Source organism: Homo sapiens, chromosome 13, assembly GCF_000001405.40.
Source record: "Homo sapiens chromosome 13, GRCh38.p14 Primary Assembly".
Taxonomy (NCBI): Eukaryota; Metazoa; Chordata; class Mammalia; order Primates; family Hominidae; genus Homo; species Homo sapiens.
In genome coordinates, this window is record NC_000013.11 from 71,742,391 (window position 1) to 71,765,499 (window position 23,109).

Here is a 23,109-nt window from a genome sequence, read left to right on the forward strand (position 1 = left end):
CAGTTTTTTATTCTTCTTGTCCCTCCAAATATCATACTAATGTTGAAATTATAACATGTAAAATGTTCTAACCACTATCAAGCAAAAATTTCATTAGTTAAATATGAGACATTCCTAAAATTTATTCATATTTACTCCATTGGGGAAAAAAAAGGAAGAAAAATGCAAAGAAATGTTTTATTTGTAGTTTTCTCTGCAAAATAGAAGTGTCAATGAAAAATAAAGATATGTTTTACTATTAGTAAAGGGATTTCTGCTGTCTGCAGAATTGCAGCCTCTTCTAAATGTCACCTTGGGAATATTTCAACATCATCTTCTTCATCTTATACATTTTTTTTTTCTAAGACACTGGAAACATTTCAATCTTCCTTTTTACCTCAAGGATTTCCCAAAAGTCAGTTTGCAGAGGGATCAGTATAGACAACTTAAATAAGCAAAATCTGCCTTTATTTTTCTCTTGTTCCTACTCAGCATCTCCTCTCTAAAGATAGTCTAATAATTTTTATTCCATGTGCTATTTCTCTGTAGAAATTTATGAATCTTGTGGTAAAGTTTCTCCCCTAAAGTCACATAACATATGTGAGGGTTAAAACACTGACTTCTTGATTGGACAACTTTTTGAATTAAATAACCATTACTGAAGTCCTGGTATTTACACAGTGATATGATGGACATAGTAGAATGAGTTTCCAATTGCATAGAGACCAAGACATACATATCCAGAAGACAGAAGTTAAGCAAGGCTGTATAATACACTTAACTCACTGCCGAAATTATTGGCAAACTTGTCATGTGAATGCCAAAAGAAGGACAGATCACTAAAGGGAGGAATAATCAGGGAATACATTTTTTGTGAACCCCAAAGCAGAACACACTCTAGATATGTGGAACAGAGTGGGGGGAAAAGCCATGGCAGAAGACCCCAATAAAGTTGATACATGGAAATAGAATCCTAATAGTATATTTGAGAAATAGTGACAAGACTGCATGGTCTGTCTGAAGTCAAGGGTTGCTGTTTCTATACAGCAGAATCAGGACTGCTGATTATTAAAGACAAGGAGCCACACACTTTGCTAAAGGTTTTGCTTTTTCGCACAGTCCCTACAACTCTATGAGGTAGATACATCCTTCCTCAGAGATAAGAAAATGGAGAGGGTTTCAGTATCTTGCTAAAGTCTCTTGAACTGATAAATGGCAAAGGCCAGGAATGAATCTGATTTGGAGAATATCCTATGCCAGGTAAGAGATGTGGGACTTAATTCCTTAGACAATTTGTGTTTCCTAATTGCCTTTAAACAGATTTTATGGCTTTATAAATATTAGTGTTTCAGGAAGATTGATATGAATGTTTGAAAAAAAGTTTTCTAATTTGTTCATGTTAGCAAAAAAGAAAATTATATTTTAAAGGAACTTTTCATGTCTTTTTCAAATAAAATGACTGAATCCCTTTGCAGAAATATTTATTTCCATGTCATCTCAGCTTCTCCTAATTATGTTGAAAGTCGACTGATTTATAGAAAGATTTTTTCAGGTTGATAAAAGCCCCCAACCCTGGAAAGTAAAAACGAAAATATAACAAAGGAACCAAATTACTTTTTTGGTTCTCATGCCCAAACCTCAATACCACAGAGGACAGATAAGGTGTAAATAAGGAAATTTTACTGTCCTGACCTCTGTTGAAGGTGTCATTTTACTAAAAGCATTGCACTTAATAAATTGACTTGGTGCAGTTACAGATACCTCCCTAAATAGTAGAAAAAGCAACAAAGAAAGGTTGAACCATTTGATGATTTGGAAATAATAATCAATGGATAAACTGACTACCTCATAACATATTGTAATTCAGCAATGAAGCAGAAATATAGCTCATGAATTTTAGAAGTTTACAAGAAAAGAAGTACAGTGTCCCAGATAAGGCACTTAGAATTCTCACCATCTTCTGCATTGGTTAGCTTATGCCTGATACGGTTCAAGAAAGACATACACAAACTAGAAAGCAACCAGAGGTAAAATCTGAAAGCTGTAGCTGAGGAAGCACTAAAGGTATGGTGATATCCTGCCTGGAGGACGGTAGAGCCAGAAGTATCTTTCCTATCACAATTCTGAAGAATTGTGATGCAGTAGGGGAATTAGTGTGGCCTATCCACATAGGAACCAGGAACAAACAGACACTTCTTACTTCCACAAGAAGGCAAAAACTCTTACAATTAGTGTAGCCAAACAGTAAGACCATGCTGCTAAGAATATGCAATCACATATTTAACAACTATCCTGGAAGAATATTACACATGGGTGCCCACTTTGGTTGGGATTTAAACATTTCTATGAAAACTATAAATCAAATTTCATATGATTTTATGAGAATCCATACAAAAAGGAAAGGAACTTCTATAATTGTTTTAAATTCATGAAACATCATAGGTTAAAAGTGTATATATGCTTTAGCAAACTCTAGAATTTTTCTTTAACCTTCTACCAGTTTTGTCTTGGGAGTCAAACATGAATTCTACATAAGCAACCCAGCAAGGTTTGGTTGAAAAGAATACTAGATTTAGAATCAGAAGTTTTGTGGATTTTTATTTATTCTTTTACCTTTTGCAAATTCATATCTCGGAATATTGTTTCTCATATATAAAGTGGCAATAATATCATCTGCCTTACAGATTGCTGTGAAAATCAAATGAAACCACATTTATACAATCAGGTTGTAGACTATGTGACACTGAATATTATAAAGGGTTGTTTTCATTCCTTTTTTTTGTTTCAAAATAAGTCTCTCTGTCTACTATTTCTTTCCACAAATCTCTTAGTTATTAAAGAACTCATCTGTCCCCACTTTAGTTTTCCCCTTCTTTTCTTTTAAAGTTCTACTACAGGTTCATTATCATGAGAACATATGTAATAGGCACACAAATACCTTTGAAAAATGGATGCTCTGCAGTAATGGCATCTCCAAAAGATAATTATCATCCAAACTTTAGTATGCATGTCAGATATGACCTCACAGTATCAAAGGGAAGAAAAGCAATAATTTCTTGCTACTTGGTGAATATGCAAATTGCATTATACTATCATAATATATAAATTCTAATGGATGTCTAAATTGCAATGGCATGGCACAGAAGGCTAGATGAAACATAGCTTCACAGATTTCAGGTTTCCACCAACTAAGCTGTATCATCAAAACGTGACATCGAGATTAAGAAATAATTCAATGTGAATCTTCCTGGAGAAACAGTCACCAAACAAGAACATCATGTAACTGCTTTGTATAACTGTGCAATTCTGCCCAAAAGACAATGTTACAAAGTGAGTGGTGCTTTACATTTCACCAACTGGAGTAAGACTACACTGAGAACTGCCATTATGCAAACAAAACGGTGTACTCAATCCCAATAAAACTGCAGGGCTTTTGCAGGGAAAATACCTAGAGGGGTTACCATGTTCCACCACTACACCTCAAAACATTAGAGTTATCTATACTTACTAAGAGATAAGACAATATTTTTTAAAAGTAATTGTTACATCATAATAAACAACATAATGCGGCCGGGCGCGGTGACCCAAGCCTGTAATCCCAGCACTTTCGGAGGCCAACGCGGGTGGATCACGAGGTCAAGAGATCGAGACCATCCTGGCCAACATGGTGAAAACCCCTCTCTACTAAAAATACAAAAATTAGCTGGGCGTGGTGGCACACGCCTGTAACCCCAGCTACTTGGGAGGCTGAGACAGAAGAATCACTTGAACCCGGGAGGCAGAGGTTGCGCTGAGCCGAGATTGCGCCACTGCACTCCAGCCTGATGACAGAGCAAGACCCTGTTTCAAATAAAATAAAATAAAATAATAAACAACATCATGTACAAGAAAGATTCTTCCAAAATATACATGAATGAAGAGGAAACCCATAGATAGGAATGGAAGAAAATGTTGAAATTAAACTCTTCCCTTTATAGATGACAAAGTGGAAGCTTAGAGTTTAAGAATACAAAAATCAATCACATTTGGAGTTCAGATTTGGTCACTGATGAAAAGTAAACTCACTTAACTGCAATATGTTTTTTAAATGTGGCACTAAAAAAGGCATAATGATTTTAATAAGATGAAATCAACTACAAAAATTCCCAGGTCACTGGAAATTCCTTACCACTAAAGTCCTGTTTGGAATCCTCTTATACCCCCAGAGCACCAGCAACCTATTCTTTGCTGTGCTCAGTGTTAGCATCTCTGATAAAAGAAATGGTATAAACAAACAAACAAACAAACAAACAAAAAACCTCCACAGTATCTGCAGGCTACCTGTGTTATCTAATCAAGCTTATGAGCTACTGGTGCCAGCCTTCACTGGTTGCTCATGTAAGGTTAGAGAAGTTTCTGGGTTCCTTCCCAGAAGTGGCTAGGACTTCTCTAATGTCTTCACTAAGTATAAGTCAAAGCTATGTCGACTTAGTGAATGTATTTATTTTAATATATTTTAAGATATACTAAAAATACAATGTGGTAAATATTTCCTGCCAAAAATATTCAGCTTGATAGAGTACACATTTCTGTATTAACACATATGTATATGTATTAACACAATATCTAACACATAATCTTGTAGTAACACATATGTATTAACACATATGTATATGTACTGACACATAATAGCTATATCTATCAACTATTTTTGCATTTATGTATTTAAATATTGTGTTTGTATATACAAATAGTTGTATGATATATAATATCTATTTTCTGCAAAGGAACGGTAATTTTTATAGGAAAAATTACCTACAATTCAAAATTGTTCACAATGATGAGAGTTAATACTAGATCATGTAATGTAGTCCACACACTGTAATGTAATGTAGTCCACACACTGTACAGAATTAATAAGAAAAAATAATTAAAATCAGTCATCCCAGGCCTGGCGTCGTGGCTCATGCCTGTAATCCTGGCACTTTGGGAGGCCAAGGCAGGCGGATCACTTGAGGTCAGAAGTTCAAGACCAGCCTGGCCAACACGGTGAAGCCCTGTCTCTACTAAAAAAATTAAAAAATTAGCTGGGTGAGGTGGTGCATTTCTGTAGTCCCAGCTACTAGGAAGGCTGAGGCAGGAAAATTGTTTGAACCTAGGAGGCGGAGGTTGCAGTGAGCAGAGATCGCACCATTGCACTCCAGCCTGGGTGACAGAGTGAGACTCCATCCCCCTGCCAGAAAAAAGAAAATCAGGCATCCCAGCTAAAAATGCATTCATGTCATGCCCAGGCTGGCTTCCATACAAGGATGCTCTAGGAGATTCTGTGAGTTTCCTCACTACATGTTTGTTTTAGATAAATTTGGGAGCTACATTTACCTTGAGAGTGTCTCTACTGGGTCCATGGGAGGAAGCAAGGAAATCTGAGTTCTGCCATCCTAGCCTCCTTTCTCTGGGAATTTTTAATGAATTGTGTCCTAATGGGTCCCTGTATAGCACTGTAGCAGCTTTCTCAGGACCGATAGGTAGGACTTTGGAGACCACCCTGGTCCATTCTCACATTCCTGAGGTGCAGGAAGGTCTTGCCCAGTTTGTGCATGAACTTGACAGGCAAATAAACCATCTAATCTGGTGAAAAGCAAAAAGCAATATGGAGAGACCTTTGGGGGACAGCATGTTGACTTCCAACTATAAAAAGATTAAGTACAGTTAGAATACTTTTCCCATCCAAAGTAACCTTCAAATTTATTACTTACTGGCCAGCTTTACAAATGTATTCACACAGATTAACACGTTGTGAACATGCTCTGTTAATATTGGGATCTGAAAAAAAAAAAAGGAGCAAGCTCCAAACAATGTTGAGGGGGGGAAAGCAAAGTGAAGCAGGGTAACATTGTCTCTGCTCAGCAAAAAGTGGTAGGGGACATTATCTAAGATAAATAAAGTAACATGGAATACAACTTTGAGACCATACACTTCAGTTCATAAGGCCAAAACTGATCACAGTGAGTGGCAGCTAAAGAGATCTTAGAGATAAAAAAGTGCTTGGAAATCATTTTACAGATGGAATAAAACAAGCTCAAGCCCTTAGTTTTTAAAAAGAGAAATCAATTTAAGGGAACCCAGTGGAGGGTCTGCTTGCTTCGCTAGAATGATATTCCTGTTGCTTATTTTCCATCATCCCCAGAACATCCTTTGCCCTTGAGCTCACTCTGGGGGCACCATTGAATAAAGGTCAACAGGTCCCTCTTTGTCTACTACTATAGCAATCCTCATTCCCAGGGCCTTGAGGTGTCTGCCCTGTATAAGCTAACTGGAAGTCTGCTTTTCATGTTTTCAAAGAACAATGCCTATTTGTTAGCTCAGAAAATAATGTAAGGATTTCAAAAACAAAAACATATGGGACATTTTCTTAACTAATATATCATCTTTCATAACATGATTAGATTTTACTAATTTTTCTCTATGTTACCTGAAATATAAAAAATATTTTTTCTCTTTCTTTCTTTCTTTCTTTCTTTCTTTCTTTCTTTCTTTCTTTCTTTCTTTCTCTTTCTTTCTTTCTTTCTTTCTTTCTTTCTTTCTTTCTTTCTTTCTTTCTTTCTCTCTTTCTTTCTCTCTCTCTCTTTCTTCTTTCCTTTTATTTCTTTCTTTCAGATGGAATCTCACTCTGTCACCCAGGCTGGAATACAGTGGCATGATCTCAGCTCACTGCCACCTCTGCCTTCTGGGTTCAAGCGATTCTTGGGCCTTAGCCTCCTGAGTCACTGGGATTACAGGTGCCTGCCACCATGCCCAGCTAATTTTGTATTTTCAGTAGAGATGGGGTTTCAGCATGTTGGCCAGGCTGGTCTCGAACTCCTCATCTCAAGTGATCCACCGCCTCGGCCTCCCAAAGTGCTGGGATTACAGACTTGAGCCACTTTGCCTGGCCCTATTTTCTATATTTTTCTGTTCACCAATCCAAAATCCAAGCACTTTGTGTGTAAATTATGAAGATTTTAATTTGCCTAAAAATATCCAATGACTAATTTCTATTTAATGTATAATTTGAGAACACACTAGATTTTTTTTGAGGGGGGGGCATTTGTTAAGAAAAAGTTGAACAAATCAGATAAAACCTGGGCTGATACACCAAATGAATGATGGATAATGCCGCAAATCCCAGCTCTTAGCACAGTGCTTGGCACAGAGTCAGTACTCAGTAAACATAATTATTATTACTAATATTTTGACAAATTTACCTTTTTCAGCCTCTTTCAAATGAGAAAATTACAGGCATTCCCTTAAGTGCACAATTAAGGAATCATCCCTCAGATTTAAAACATGATGCACTAAAGAAATGTTAATATTGTAGAGAGGAACAACACTTGGGAAACTGTTAGTCGTTTATACCATTCTGTGAACCCGACTAAGGAACACGAGTTCCGTAACCGTCATCTCCAAGCTTCACAACAACTCCATGCTATAGGCATTATTGTCTCCATTTTGAAAACAAGCATCATGAGGGTGAGAGGTAAGAGCTAGATAAGCGGAGAGCTGAGGATCCGGAGAGGAATGATTGAAGAAAGGGACCACCAGTTGTGAAAGCCAAGTTAAAGACAAAAATAAACAAACACTTGTCTTTATCTCAAACTTTTATGCTTTCAAGCAACTATTTATGGAAGCACCTACTATGTGCCAGGTACTCTGTTGGGAATAAATATCATACAGAGTTCAAAAATTCTGTCACATTCACTCTTAACAGCTTGCTTTCTCTCATGCTCTTTCTCCGCCTGGAACATCCTCCTTTCCCCTGCTTCTCCTCCCCACTCCACTATACCGATGTTTAGAGTCTATACTTTAACATCATCTCCTCTAGAAAACTTTCCCTGAAATACCTGAGCTTCTTGAAATACACTCTCTTTGCATGCCAGTAGCAACCACTTACCCTACCATGCAATAATTGCTTTTTTTGAATTGTTCCCTAATCCTTGGACTAAGAAACTGTACCTTACACTGCCGCAAAAATGCCACATCTGTGTTTATTTAATTAATAAATTCACATAGCAAATGAATGAATGACAACAGAATTAAGGGTCTAACAAAAAGAATGAGAAAAGTTAGCATTTCAAGTAAATGTACCCTTTAATAACAATCTAATGTATGATTTCATTTAATATGTGTCTTAGCTAGAGTATATTATAAGAATAATTGTTTAATATTGCTTTAAAGTGCAAATTGTTTCTTTAGAATTCAATAAATAAATGCTGAACTAGGAAATGAAAGTGTTGTTTAATTTAATTGTCCTCACTACCATGCATGGCTTTTTGATATTTTTAGTTATTAGCAAAATAGAAATTGACTTTAAAACCAAGAATAAAAGAAATATCATGAATAAATGTTATCTAATATTTCTACACTGCTTACTTTTAATGATTCAATCATTACAATAAGAAAACAGCAATATGTAGTTCACATAATTAGCTCTTGTAATAATTAGGGGAAGGGGTGGGAGCCATCAATGAAACACACACATTGTTGTCCAAGTTAAACCAGAAATTCTTGATGACTAACATTAATTGAGAAAAGATGGCTAAAAAAAATAAATCCTATGTGAAACATTAAACAAAGTTATCTGATGTTTATGTTTTTCTCCTTTAATAATTAATGGAATGTAAATAGTCAGGAGAGGCTTCAGTTTTGCATTGTAACTAACCAGCATTATAAATGGCAGTCAGATGTTTACATAATACCCAGAACCCTTCTGTATGGAAGGAGGTTACAAATCTGCCCCTTTTCCCTGTTCAAAGTCAAAAATAATGGTGCCTGATCCCCAGAGCATTCACTGCAAGAACTGTTTGCATATTCAGTTATTGTTTCTGCTGCGTCAGTCATCTGTTGAAGTTCACTCTAATGTGGCCCTGATCAATTCTGCCAGCTGTGCTTAAGTGCTGTTTACTATAATAACATCACACTGCATTCTTATTTGGCAACAACAGCTATGACAGCACCTAAATGCATTGAGAAGCCAAGATTTTTATCATGTACACAGATCAAATTGAAACTGTTTACAGAGGACAGTGATGTTCTATTTCTGTCCATTCTAGTGAATACCAAGAGCACAATAATGGCTTTGCAAAATTCTGCCCTGTCTAATAATTGAAGATATTGTTGATCTAAATTCTTAATGGGATACAGAAATTATTTTATAATTACATCTTACATGTTGATTCACCAGAAATAAACCCTCACCTCTAGCATGTCCTGATGTAAGATGTAGTATGAGTAAACTATCTAAAATGAAAATACATTCTGAAAAATATCTAGCAGGAGTAAGAGTAAATATGAAAGTAAAAAGTAAAAAACTAACAATTTTAAATAATAGAAAAATATGTCAACAAAATATTAGATTGTATGGTTTTCTCACCTCTTAAAATAATATGCTTCATCTCATATTAAGCAATAATGCAAACTAAGCCAAATATGTCACTGAAATGAGAACTTAGTATTTCTACAAAAACTTATACACTCCTTGTGATCAATATTTGTTACTGCTTTGCTACTTATTTAAAAACTTTTATGTGTGAATTCTACTATTATGTATCACCCAATTTATGGCATTGTTTATTGAAATTTTAAAAAATCTCTCTTGATTCTGTGAGTCCCTTAGTATTTCCTTTATAGTAAGTGTGATATAAACAAAAATACTGACTAATGAAAGAATAGAAAAGTCACTGAAATGCCATCCTCTCAGAGGTTTTAATCCTCCTGAAGCAACAGCAAATAAGTGGACATTTTTAAGATTAGCATAGAAAACATACGGATAACTCAATATAAATGCATGTCATAGCTCATAAATGCTCTGAAAGCTCCTTCTGAGCTATTACAGTGCATGCTGTGAATGTGTATTAACAATAGTGCACAATCGTACATTAAATACATCATATATTTGCATATTTAGTTCTATTCAACTGTTGATTTTAAAAATATACTTTCTCCAAAGAACTATAGTCTTGGTTTCTAGTAGCCATAATTTTTCCATTAGTGTCTATCAAAATAGTAACCTAGTTTGATATTATTCAACTTTTAAAATTGCATTTAAATTCCTACAAACCAGGAAATTCTCTCTCTTTCTCTCTCTGTCTGTCTCTCTTCCTTTCTCTCTCTCTCTCTCTCTCTCTCTGTTGCTCAGTTACTTAGCTATAGCTGAAATTATTATTACTTGGAATTTCAGGAACTCATCTTTCTAAAGATTAACAACACTTTATACACTTTAACACTCTTTAGTAGATAATAATTATTTCCCCCAAACAAAATCTGTCATTTCTGATTTTTTAAGAAAACATGACATTCTACTAAAATCATCAGGTTGCCAGCAAGAATCCAAAACAAAAATAATTCATTCAAACTCCTTAATCTAGTCATTGAAGATTGACAGTATCTTTTTATATTTTGAAAGCTCTTTTAACATTAACTGATATTTTAGTGTGTGAAGAAACTAAAGCTTTCTACATATAAAAGTTCATCTTTTGCCTTCTCACCACCGTCAGATAAAAGCATAAGGGACTTGAAGTCACAGTTCAGATATACTAGTCCCACAGAAATAAGCCCAATACATCAGCATCAGGACAGGCAGCAGGTGTGAGCAGTGACTAGAAAAGAGCAATGATACACAAGGAAAGCAAGCCAGAGAAGAGTTAAACCTAACCTATTAATACCACTATGCATGGGATAATAGAAAGGCCCTCTTGTTACTAAAGGTGAAGCTATCCTGGCTAGAAAAATAAGCGAACCACTGCAAATATTGTAGTGACTGTCCTGTGAATGGATTGCCACACCAAATGACAGAACTCTCTCAATTCCACTTTCCAATAACTTCAAGGCACTAGGGATGTGACAGCATGATGAATACCACAACAGACAGCTCCAATATGGTACCATTTTACCAGATCAATATCTCGCTGCAATATAAGAAAAAAGGAGCTGATATTAGTCTACACAGTGTATTACAGATGAGGTACATTTCTTCTTACTGCACTCCTGCTGAACCAAAGCAATAATTCACAGATTCCTTAAAAGGTTCGTGCACCATCACATGCAAAAAAAGGCTAATCCTTATTTTAACATCTGCTTGAAGATGTAATCACTTAAAGAAGTATGCAAGTTTTTTAAATGCCTTTTTCATTTATCGCTTACCAAGATATATAAATAACGAAGTTAGTATATCCAGGTCTGAAAAAGTACAAACATTCATAGATTGCCTTGCTGACACTGTTCCAGTAATAGTATGAAGAAAATTGCCCTCAATATTTCACTACCAGCCTACCTAACTTGCTTCGCAAGTGGAAGAGCACTTTAGAACTTTCCACATTTTGAGTGTGTGAAATATAATCAATTCTCAATTATCTGCAATGGTTTATTCTTTTTTGGATTATTCCATATTTCCTTTTTAAAACCAAAGTCACTGTGATCAGCTACCCCTAAAGCTGCCAAGAGCTGTAAACTACTATACAAGAAATATTAGTTGCCATGTGTACAAATCATACAAAAGTAATATAGAGTAATTCTCATGCCATAGTCAAAGTATAAATGACCAAATGTTTTATTGTTTCAAAATATTTTAATTGGTTCAGGCCACAGATGCAAAGAGAAACCAAAATAACATACTAAATCAGAAGCAGCTTAATTCTGACTTAATGTGACTCATGATTATCTTTTTTAATGTACTCTATACATCATCCACTGGAGTATTACTTTTATTTTCCTCCATTTTCTCTTTTTTTCATATCCTGTTTCAGCAAAATAAATATGTATTTCCTCAAGCAAAGTTCCAGACTGTTCTATTAGTGCTTTAAAATGGAGGAATTCACAGCTGGCTCACCTGGTTAGTGCTTCCTCTCTGATCGTGCCCATTTCCCTTCTGGCATCGCCCATGGCTCTGGATATAGATACTCCCAATTAATATCTCTAAAAATATGAGATATGCTTCCTGGCTCCTGTCCAACTACAAATAATAATTTACCTTTCCTTGCCCCCTTTCATGCTATGCAATCAAGTATCTGTACTATGGTATGTACAGTCTTTAGAAGATATGGGAGTTGATACTTTGCAAGGGGATGATGACTCTCAGTATTTTCCTAGCTGCTGCCAACCTGAACTATGAAGTAGGTCAGCACTAAGAGTTTTGTTTTACAGATGAGGAAAATGAGGTTTATGGAGGTTAAATGGCTTAGCCCGTTGACCCAACAGCTGTCAGACTTTAGTAACCATTCTCTGGGCCAGTGATTTCCAGCCCAGATTTTGTAATACCCCAGGGTGTCTCACATTTCCTAAAGTATTTCATGAAATTCTCAAAAAATATTCCATTAAAGATAAATGTAGGCCAAATTATATCTTTTAGACATAACCAGGAAAAAAAAAAAGGCACAAATATATCGCACAACTCTGCAAAACGTAAAAAACGCCACTATCTGGTGATTCACTGCATTGCAGGAGAGTCTAATAAAAAACAAAGAGGTAGAATAATAAGGCAAGTATGTTATGAATTGTTAAATATCATTTCTTCCTTGGGTCACATCGCTTTTAATATCATTCTGTTTTTATCCAGGAGATGGGCAAAAAGACCGGGGCCGGGGGGAAATCATCATAAACTACTTTATCTCTTCATCTTCTCTTTGAAAATTAACAAGAAAAATCATTAACTTTGTCTATGAGTTTTATTTTATCATGTTCAGGGTAGATTCTACATACTAAGATGTTGCCTGGAAACACTCCACTTGGCTAATACTGAATAGCAGTGTTCAACAGAGTTGCCGATATCTCCCCACCTTTAGTAGCTTTAATTTTTTATAGCAGACCTCAATCAAGTATAGCAAAACAAGAAAAATCTGTTTATGAGAATTTTATTAATATATCACACATGAGTTGAGGAAAAAAAGATATTTTGGATATTAAAGCTGCAATACAAGGCTGTTATACAGGTAGCTATTTAAACATGGACCCCAATCAGAAAAACAATGGTGATGAAAAGCTATTTTCACAGAACTCTCTTTCAAGTTTAAATTGTGACATCAGTGGGCCAGACGAAACTGGTGTTAATTTTATTGCTCTGACCAAAGCTAGTTAAATCTCTTCTTTCTGCAGTCAATGTCCCAAGGTCCCAAGATTATTGTTAGAGCTAGGAAGTCTTAAGTTAGGTCTAATTTGTCTTGTTTTGCAAATGGCACCCCTGAAATTCAGACAGTTCCAGGGCTACTAAGTAGCAGAACCTAGTCTGAAAGGTATGTATCCTAACTTTTAATTCAGTACATTAAGAGGAAATGATGTAGCTATCAATTTCTTCACATAGATCTTTAAGAACATGGGATACTACTTTCCCCAAATTACTATCTAAGAATAGAGACAGACTTGTATAATGTCTTCAAACTAAATCAAGTCTGTCCCTTGCCTACTCTCTTCCTTTCACATGAATTCTAAAAGTATTTCTTTTAATCACAGCATTAGCAACAAATATATGGAAACCATTACTTTTAAACTTATGATACTATACCAAAATAATAGAGAATATTCATCATAGACCATTAATTTATTGGCTGAGACGGTATGGAAAAAATACTAAAAAATGTTAAATATTAAAGTAATGGCTAGAAAATTTAAATTATTTAAATTTAAAGACTAAAATGCGTAAACTAAAGACTTTTTTATTTTTTTTTTCTTTTAAGACGAAGTCTCACTCTGTCGCCCAGACAGGAGTGCGGTAGCCCGATCTCGGCTCACTGCAATCTCTGCCTCCCAGTTTCGAGCAATTCTCCTGCCTCAGTCTCCCGAGTACCTGGGACTACAGGCACATGCCACCACACTCGGCTAATTTTTTTTTCTTTTTTTTTGTATTTTTAGTAGAGACAGGTTCTCACAGTGTTAGCCAGGATGGTCTTGATCTCCTGACCTCGTGATCTGCCCGCCTTGGCCTCCCAAAGTGCTGGGATTACCTAAGTGTGAGCCACCGCACCCGGCCAAGACATTTAAAAGTATACTTAGACCCCATCTACCAGGAATTCATTTTTATTTCCTAGAAATCCAGGGTTCAGAGAATTGAACATCCACCCTCATTTATCCTTTTAAAACTTATAATTCAACATTCTCAGAATATTGAAAGGACTTATATTATGGTTTAGGGTTTGTTTTCAAAACAATGAAAAAAAAAAACATTTTATTTTAAAAGATACTGTGTTGAGTGGCAGCTATGTCCTGGACACTGTATTGGCAATCACAGAAATAAAGGTCAAGATAGATAGGGCAGGATTCCTCTAACTGGATGAACTCACAGTCTAATGAGGAAGACTGATATAAAATGGTATAATTATAATACAAAACAATCATCTTTAGAGTAGAAATATAAATTCAGATTTTTAGAAGCAAAATATATTTAATAGCAAAATTTGAAATCCACTCAATTTTCTAAAGGAAAAATCATAACTCTCAGTATATATAGAAAGTTTGCTTTAAATCAAGCAGAATTGAATATCTGATTATCATAGAGACGTCAAATTGGGATATATGCTTGCCTGGATGTTGTTCACTTGTGAGAATGACATAGTGAATGTAAAGGATCAGGAGAAACGATGGCTCACGTAACAAATTTGTAACAAAAAACTCATATACTGTGACTGTTTGATTTTTGTTAAGTACAATTCAATGCATAAAACATGAGAAATATGTATTAAAAGTCCTAATAAAAATGTAACACACGTTTGAAGATTTTTGAAAGGGCTTATTATTGACATAAAGCAAAAATAGTTTATTTAGCTTGAATAATTAATATTATGCCTCAGTAACTCATAATAAACATGCATTCAATTAAATGTTAAAATATCACTTAAATCAATACATAGTAATTCAAGACTTGGGATCAAAAGAAAAATTAAGAAAAACTGTTTTAATACCCTAAATGCCATAAGCACTAGAACACAAGCAATATAAGGAAATAACTTGATTTTTTTAAAGGCATTTTCTTTGGAGCTTTAGTAAAATAAACGGACCAGTGGCCAAATGGCTCTGTAGAGTCTTTGTTGTCTAACCTGAACAAATCACTTAACCTCTGTAGGGACCATTTTTCCTAATCACAGAAATGGGTGTAATAATGCCAATCTCACCAGTCTGTTGTTGAAAAGCCAAGAGAATTTTTAAAGGTACTTTTTTTTTTTTTTTTTTTGAGACAGAGTCTTGCTCTGTCGCCCAGGCTGGAGTACAATGGTGCAATCTTGGCTCACTGTAATCTCTGCCTCCCAGGTTCAAGCGATGCTCCAGCCTCAACCTCCTGAGTAGCTGGGATTACAGGCACCCGCCATTATGCCCAGCTAATTTTTGTATTTTTGTAGAGATGGGGCTTCACCATGTTGGCCAGGCTGATCTTGATCTCCTGACCTCAGGTGATCTGCCCACCTCGGCCTCCCAACGTGCTGGGATTACAGGTGTGAGCCACCACGCCTGGCCTTAAAGGTACTTTGAAAGTAGCAATCCAGTTGTTGATAATCACAATGGCATTTCTGTATTATCATGCTTTTCAGGGTTGAATCACTGAAGTGCCTTTAGGAAGATGCAATATCAAGATTTTTTAAATTATGGACTTAATTTACAAAATATACATAAACATAATTACAAACCTCTCTATGATTAAAAGAAAAATGATGAATATTGTATTCAGAACCAATATGATAATTTCAAATATTTTTAAATTGACCACCGAAGACTTGATTACCTGACAACAATATAGAGATTTAGGGCTGTGAACACAGTCTCTCCATGGCCATTGCTCAAAGTTCATTAAGCACCGTTTAAGGTGATGGGTAACATTTGTCCAGAGAAATTGTCAGGATTTTTTTAGAGACAAATAAATCCTCAGTGGGTGTCAGTTGTGATGTGTGCATTTAAAACAGATTGACAGAGCAGAAATAGATTTTTATGTAAAAGACTGACAAAATTAACATGTTTAAGCTACTGATCCTATAAAAAGAGATCCCTGGAAAACACCTCTGTAGGTGTCTAAAGAAATACAGGGAGTGAGAACCTGGAAACAAAACAAGTTTTATTCAAAGTAAATAAATGTTTTATACATATAAAAGGTCTTCAATGTGATCAAGAAAAGTGTAAGTTCAAGTGATGACAGATTGCTAAGAAATGCAGTGCGACAGCTAGCAAGGCATCCAGATCCTCAAATATTTTTTTATGGAGGAATACTCTAAAATGTGCCTATATAATTATTTAAGAATAGCTTGAAATACCTTGAAACGCACCACTTAATCAAAATACAGCATCTCCTTTCCCTGAGGATGATACATCTGAACACAAATATGTATCTAAATGCTTAATGGGTCTGCCGAAGGAAGTTAACAACAAATAAATGAAAACAAGTACATATAAATATCCGGTATATTAAAAGATGACTGAGTGGCATATAATTTCTACGGGTAATTCCATGCCCATGTTGAAGTTTAAATTAGTACACTGTTAAGGCCTGCTTTGAAGAAAGTTATTATGTACCTTTTAGACTGCAAACCAGTAAACTCCCCCTCCCTCGCATTATGTTGTTGCCAGTCTTTGTCTTTTTTTTTTTTTCCTGTGGTCCTGTTTAAATTCTCACCTTGCTCTGCCCTTGTCATCAAGTCGTTCAAGCACAAAGCAGGGAGCATGGGGAGTGTTTACTCATTTCCCAAGTCCATTATCTTACACATTAATCACTGGTCTGGAACTTTTGGACAATGCTGAATCTGTTACCTTTTTTTCCCCTTTCTGGCTGCTTTTACTTGAGAGTCTGACAGTTCACCAGTTTTAAGCTGCACTAAGACTTGATGACCTTTTCATCTGATTAACTATTTTTGTCCCTAAAAAAAAAAGATAGGCATTTATAGTCCAGTGAAACCATCATGACCTTAAATGTGGAAGATGAAGCCTTTATTTTTTCTTCATGGAAAGACAGCCTAAGGGAGCTAAATATTTTAAATATTGGTTTATAAAAGAGTGCCTTTTTTGGGATTAAGTTCATTCCCCCCAACCCCCACGCTGCCCTCACTATTATTAAGTGTCATTTTCAAAACAAAACATTAGTGAGAAATTCCAGTTAACTTTGGAAAGCAAATATTTTTAAATATTAAAGTAAACAATTTTTAACTCTAATATCTTCATGGTTCTTGCATAATATGAAGGACTGTTCTGGGAATTTAAAGTTTAGCTTCAATAATGATTACTAAACCAAGAGAAATAGATGTAAAAAAGCAGGACAGCTGGAGGCTCTTGAACTATAGTTGTCAAAAGATTTGTTTGTGAAACATGCATTTTATTGCCTTGTATGCATGTTATAATGAGGCATGGACAACTGCAACATTACACTTAATGACTGCATTTCTTGTTTCAGCCAGTTTCCTTGTCCTCTTGCAATTAACGTTTTCCCAGATCACCCAAGGCTACTTTGTCAGGGAGAAAAAAAAAATCTGAAATTCACATAAATGAGCAATGTCAATAGTTTAGAAAGAGTTTACTTAGAGAACAAAGGGCCCTTATGAGGCACTAGTGAGAAGAAATGGGGAAAAAATGAGTCCTCACAATGTAAGCCTTTTCTTAAAGCGACTTGTTATCAAGCAGTTCAGGATAGTCCCTCAAATCTGCATTAAAATGCATTTCATTCCATTGACTCATTTGCATTAATTTCTCCCATTATATCTGAAAATGGCTGAATGTCTACCCAACACAATGCCACAGCCTATCACAGGCTACCACGGCGGCCCCAGGTGCCAATTTACTCCTCTTAGTTCTTTTCATTCTGTTTGCTGATTCTGACAACTGGAGTTCTCCTCTCAGTCCAAGGGACTTTTCAATTGGATTTGCTCGTGGTGACAAAATTGTTGCTTTGCTGAGAGGAGGGGGTTCTTTGATTGAGCGTCTATCATGCTGCCATGGGAAAGCGAGAGGCGAATGATTCTCAGTGGCTTCTGATTTCCAGTATTTGTTCAGCATTAGGCCCACTTATCTCCAGAAGAAAAAGCAACATGTAGAAAGAAAGTGACAGGCAGAAACACACTCACTTGCTCGTTCATTCTCACTGCGCTCTGTATTCAAACAAGGGGGACCTATTACACTGAAAGCTCCAGATCAGCCTCACTCAATTATCACAGTTAATCCTTATAGCTCTATAAAGTAAATATTTCATTACAATTTCAAATAAACAGTCACCCAATCTAATGAAGCAAGAACTCAAAGTGGCAATGTCATAGAACTCGTTACCGTCATCAAAGGAAAGGACACAGCCTTGTCTACTAATAATGAAAAAATAGATACTGGCATATTTATGAACTCAAGGGTGTTGTAGTGGTGAGGATTTCTTTTTCAGTGCCATTGGCCAATTTATCTTTCCAAATACAATTCAGTTATCAAAATTCTATGTGTCTTTTTTCTCTCTCTCTTTATTTCTCTTGGTTTTTCACCCCAATCTCTTCATGGGGATCATCATCTTCACTACCCATCATCCACACACTTAGCACATTCCACTATAACTTTTCTTTTTCATAAACATCAGAGAATTTTGATATGGCATTTTGAATTCAGGAAATTTACAGAATATAAAGTGATCATTTTCATAATCCATTGTCTCTATCACCAATGTTATCTTAAATCCTTCATCTTGTATGTCCTTATATCCTCTATCTACTACTCTTTTACTCCGGGGCAAGAACATCTAAAAATAACTCTCATTTCACCAAATTTTAATAATTTGAAAAAAAAAAGCTTGAATTGAATAAAGATAAGTAGATTAAGTCCTTAATCAAATGTTGAATTACCTCTATGCTATTCTAACTCTCATTTTAATCCTAATCTTTAGTCTCTCAGGAAATCGTTTTTCTTAAATTATTACTTTATCCTTCTTATTAAATATCCCGGTAGTAGTCATTATATTTTCACACTTTGTAATTCACTCTATAGGGCAGAGGGTACAATGTGTATAATAGCACCATTTTGCTTGTACTTATAAGCGCTGACTCAAAAGGGAGTCCATGTTATGCAATAAGACAAAATTTCCTATAGGTAGATTGTAACTATAAACTTCTTCTCTTTTCCTCTCAATTTTACAATACTATATTCTCCTGTCCTAAAATCATCGTCAAGTAGGAAGCGAGATGAATTGTTTTAGTGAGGAATATTTGCATTTTTCCCTTTCTTATGGGATTCTTAAATACTTACTAGCCTTTAAAAATATCACCTGAAACACAGACTTCTCAAACATCAATGTGCGTACACATCATCTGGGGTTGGGCAGGCAGGGAAGCTTGTTAAATGCAGGTTTTGATCCAGTAGGTCTGGAATGGGGCCTGGATGCTAACATTTTTAAGTCACTGGTGATGCTGATTCTGCCGGTCCTGGAGCCATACTTTGATAAGCAAGGACTTAAACTATTGATGGTGTTTATAATTTGTATAATAAAATCAGGAGTAGGGGATCCTTATATTACTATCAAGATAAAGCCATATGTGATATTGTCAACACTATTTTATTAATTTCATTAATAAATATATCTAAAACATGGGTGATTTAATAGATAATATTTATATTAATAAACTATCAAAAATGTGGATGATTTAACTAGGAGTGTTACTAGCAATACTGATAATAATATTGATAATTGAGTGCCTGCTATGTATACTTAATTATTAACTAATTTTTTTCCTCACTACAACCTCAAAGTCTGTATTGTTATGTTAATTGTATTAATTATACAGACCAGAAAACTAAGACTCGGTGAGGTAAAATAACTGGTCCAAGGTAGGGGCTGGAACTTGAGTCAAGTATTGTATACAAATGCACTATCAGTTCAGTATCACTTAAATCGACTTACTCCCCCATGCCAAGCCCATATCGCTGGATCACAGTCTATGACATTCATTCACCCAATATGTTTTATTGAAGGCCTACAGTGTCTTAGTCCCTCTTCTGGGGACTAGGACATTTAGGTGTGAAAAGACAAGCAAAGTTCCTGCCATGTTGGATTTACTCTACAACTGAACAAATGAGTGAGCAAGAAAATGTCACATATGAGTAAGTGATATGAAGAAAATGATGAATATGATGTAATAAAAAATTATTTAGGAATGTACATCTAGGTCCGGCGTGGTGGCTCACTTTGGGAGGCCGAGGCGAGCAGCACTTTGGGAGGCCAAGGCGAGCAGAACACTTGAGGTCAGGAGTTTGAGACCAGCCTGACCAACATGGAGAAACCCCGTCTCTATTAAAAACACAAAATTTACCCGGGCATGGTGGGGCATGCCTGTAATCCCAGCCACTTGGGAAGCTGAGGCAAGAGAATTGCTTGAACCCAGGAGGCGGAGATTGCAGTGAGCTGAGATTGCGCTGTTGCACTCCAGCCTTGGGCAACAAGAGTGAAACTTTGTCTCAAAAAAAAAAAAAAAAAAAAAAAAGAATGTACATCTAAGTGGTAGATACACTACCTTCAAAATTTACCTTCAAATTTAAAATTTGGTACTATTAATATTGGACCAATTTAATAATGTAGTTTTTTCTCAGTCATTCCAAGTCATGTAAAAATGCAAATAAACATAAGTGACGTATCACTGGCATATAAAACGGCTTGCACCACAGATATGGGAAGACAAGTTTAAATGACACCATATATTGGAATAATCCCCCATGTATGTTGCTTTGACTGGTATCTTAACACTCTCTGAGATCAGTGTCATAATCTTCATCCTCAACATTCACATGTATATATCACCTTATTTAGTTGCTAGTTTTGTTTGAAGCATTTTAACATATATTAACTCACTGATTCCTTATGACTGCTTTATTAAGTAAGTATTATATGTTTATATTCATTTTGCAGATTATAAAACTGAGGCATGGAGCCATGAAGTAATAAATTCAGGTTTATATCATTGGTCACGTATCAAAGTCACTTTTGAAATTCAGGCAGTTGGGTTCCAAAGTCTGTGCTGTTGAACAGTTTGCTACACTGCCTCTCATTTTTGCTTATAAGATATTACAGGTGTTGTTATAGATTATTTCCAAGATCTCTTTCTGATCACAAATGCTCAAACCCCATGATAATTACTTAAAATATAAAAGCTAAGAGATCAGACTGTGTTTCAGCCTGTTTGGTTGGAATAGTTTATGTGTTTAATATCTTATCAAAGCTCTTCCCTGATTTTTTTTTTTGAGATGGTATCTTGCTGTATTGCCCAGGCTAAACTCAAATTCCTGGTCTCAAGTGATCCTCTCACCTCAGCCTCCTAAGTAGCTAAGACTACAGGTGCACATTACTGCACCTGGCTTTCTAATCTTAATGTGAGACTCTGCATTCCTCCATTTATATTCCTTTTTACAGAAGATTTCATTTGCAATTAGTAAACCTTTTAATCGATCATTAAAATTAAAGTAGCAAAAATATCATTTATAAAGGCACATGCTCAGCAGAAAACACTGGTCAAAATAATTAACACATGTTTGCAGATTTAATGCAACTGTTGGACCTGTTATACAAACTCACCTTTTAATAACATCCAGGGGCAAAATGCCCACCTTTATGCCATGTTGCAAAACATTTTATTCATTTATCTGTATTTTTAACGAACATTTGTTGAATATCAACTTGTGCACAACAATCTTGGGTACCAGGATATAAATATAAATGGCTGTAGAGCAAATATCAGGGTTTATGACACTAAAATATGGGTGATATAAGAAAGAATATCATTATCATTATAAATAATAACAATAATTATTTGCCTTTATGTGCACTTCATTTTTAACTAATATTATTCTCACCACAACATTTAAGGTCTCTAGCTCTAACTTATGCTATATTAATTATAGGGATTGGAAAACTTTCATGCAATCATACTCAAAGAAATACAGTACAGTTAACCGGGTGTGACGGCATGTTCCTATAGTCCCAGCTACTTGGGAAGCTGAGACACGAGGATTACTTCAGGAATTCAAGGCTGCAATGAGCTATGATAGTGCTTGTGAACAGCCACTACATTCCAGCCTAGGCAATAAAGTGAGAGCCCATATTAAAAAATTTAAATTAGGATAAAAAAATTGTAAAAGAATTATAATACATTTAATTATATAAAACTATAAATGTTATAAATGAGATAAAGTATTCAATAAAGGCACAAAGAAAAGAAAACATAAACAGCCCACAAAATTTCTAAATTAAAAATAAGTGGAAGCAGTGATGAAGTCTCAGAATGCTGTTTGTCTTGGGATGTAGTTCACTAGGGTATAAGTCTCGTAAGTTTTCACTCCCCATATCTAATAATTGCTTGGCCTACTGCTGTGCTCAAAGTACATGCTCAATAAATATATGCACAATGCAAAAGCTCTTATTTTACTTCTTTACTTTTACAATCTGAAGGTATGCCAATGTGGTAAATATCTGATGACATATCCATTAGGAGAACTCTTCTGCAGATTAATTTCTTAGGCATCTTGACAACTGTTTACATCTTGAAATATACGATTGGTCTTTGGACTTTGGACTTTAAAACAATGTAATTTATTGTCTTTTTACATTTTAACCATGCTTCCCTTTTTTCAAAGCCTCCTCTCCACTCTTTCCTAAAAGTAGATATTACTCAAGATTTTATCTTTAGCTCTTCCTTGTCTCTCAAAATCCTTATACCCAGAAAGTTCCATTCATTCCAATTTCCAATCTTCAAGTGAGGTAAGCAGGGGTCCCCACTGATACCAATACAGTCTACTAACCCTGGATACCAGCCCCTGATTATTCTACCGTTATCTCAAGTGCAACATTTCCATGAATTTGTTATCTTTTTCCTCATTCTGTATTCCCTTCCTGTTGCACCATCCATCAAGTCATACAAACCAGGCATTTGGAAGACATTAACTTATGATTTCACCTGTTCCATCTATCCTTGCCTACCCACAAGCTTCTAATCTGTGACTAAATTCCATGGGTTCTACCCCTTGAGGCACTGTCACGTCCATCTGCTTTTCCCCATTTTTGTGGTCACTGTTTCAGTAAAGGCTCTTTTTATTTTCCACAGGGACTGTTATAATAATCTTCTAACTAGCCTTCTTGCCTCCATTTGTAGTACACTTTCCAATTTGTCCCACAATGGGATGCTAGAGTCTTACTTATAC

General features: G+C 35.5%; 1 protein-coding gene across 6 annotated transcripts in view, besides 1 other annotated feature; it reads right to left on the bottom strand.

The window, feature by feature from the left end:
* DACH1 (dachshund family transcription factor 1) overlaps positions 1-23,109 on the bottom strand; it is a 429,239-nt gene that overhangs the window by 304,425 nt on the left and 101,705 nt on the right. The gene's annotated exons all lie outside the window — the stretch shown is intronic.
* Positions 16,994-18,466: an enhancer, noted in NCBI's record as "VISTA enhancer hs619". NCBI's record gives its function as "enhancer in: midbrain (mesencephalon)[5/8] | forebrain[6/8]" and the evidence as "EXISTENCE:transgenic organism evidence [ECO:0001131][PMID:17130149]".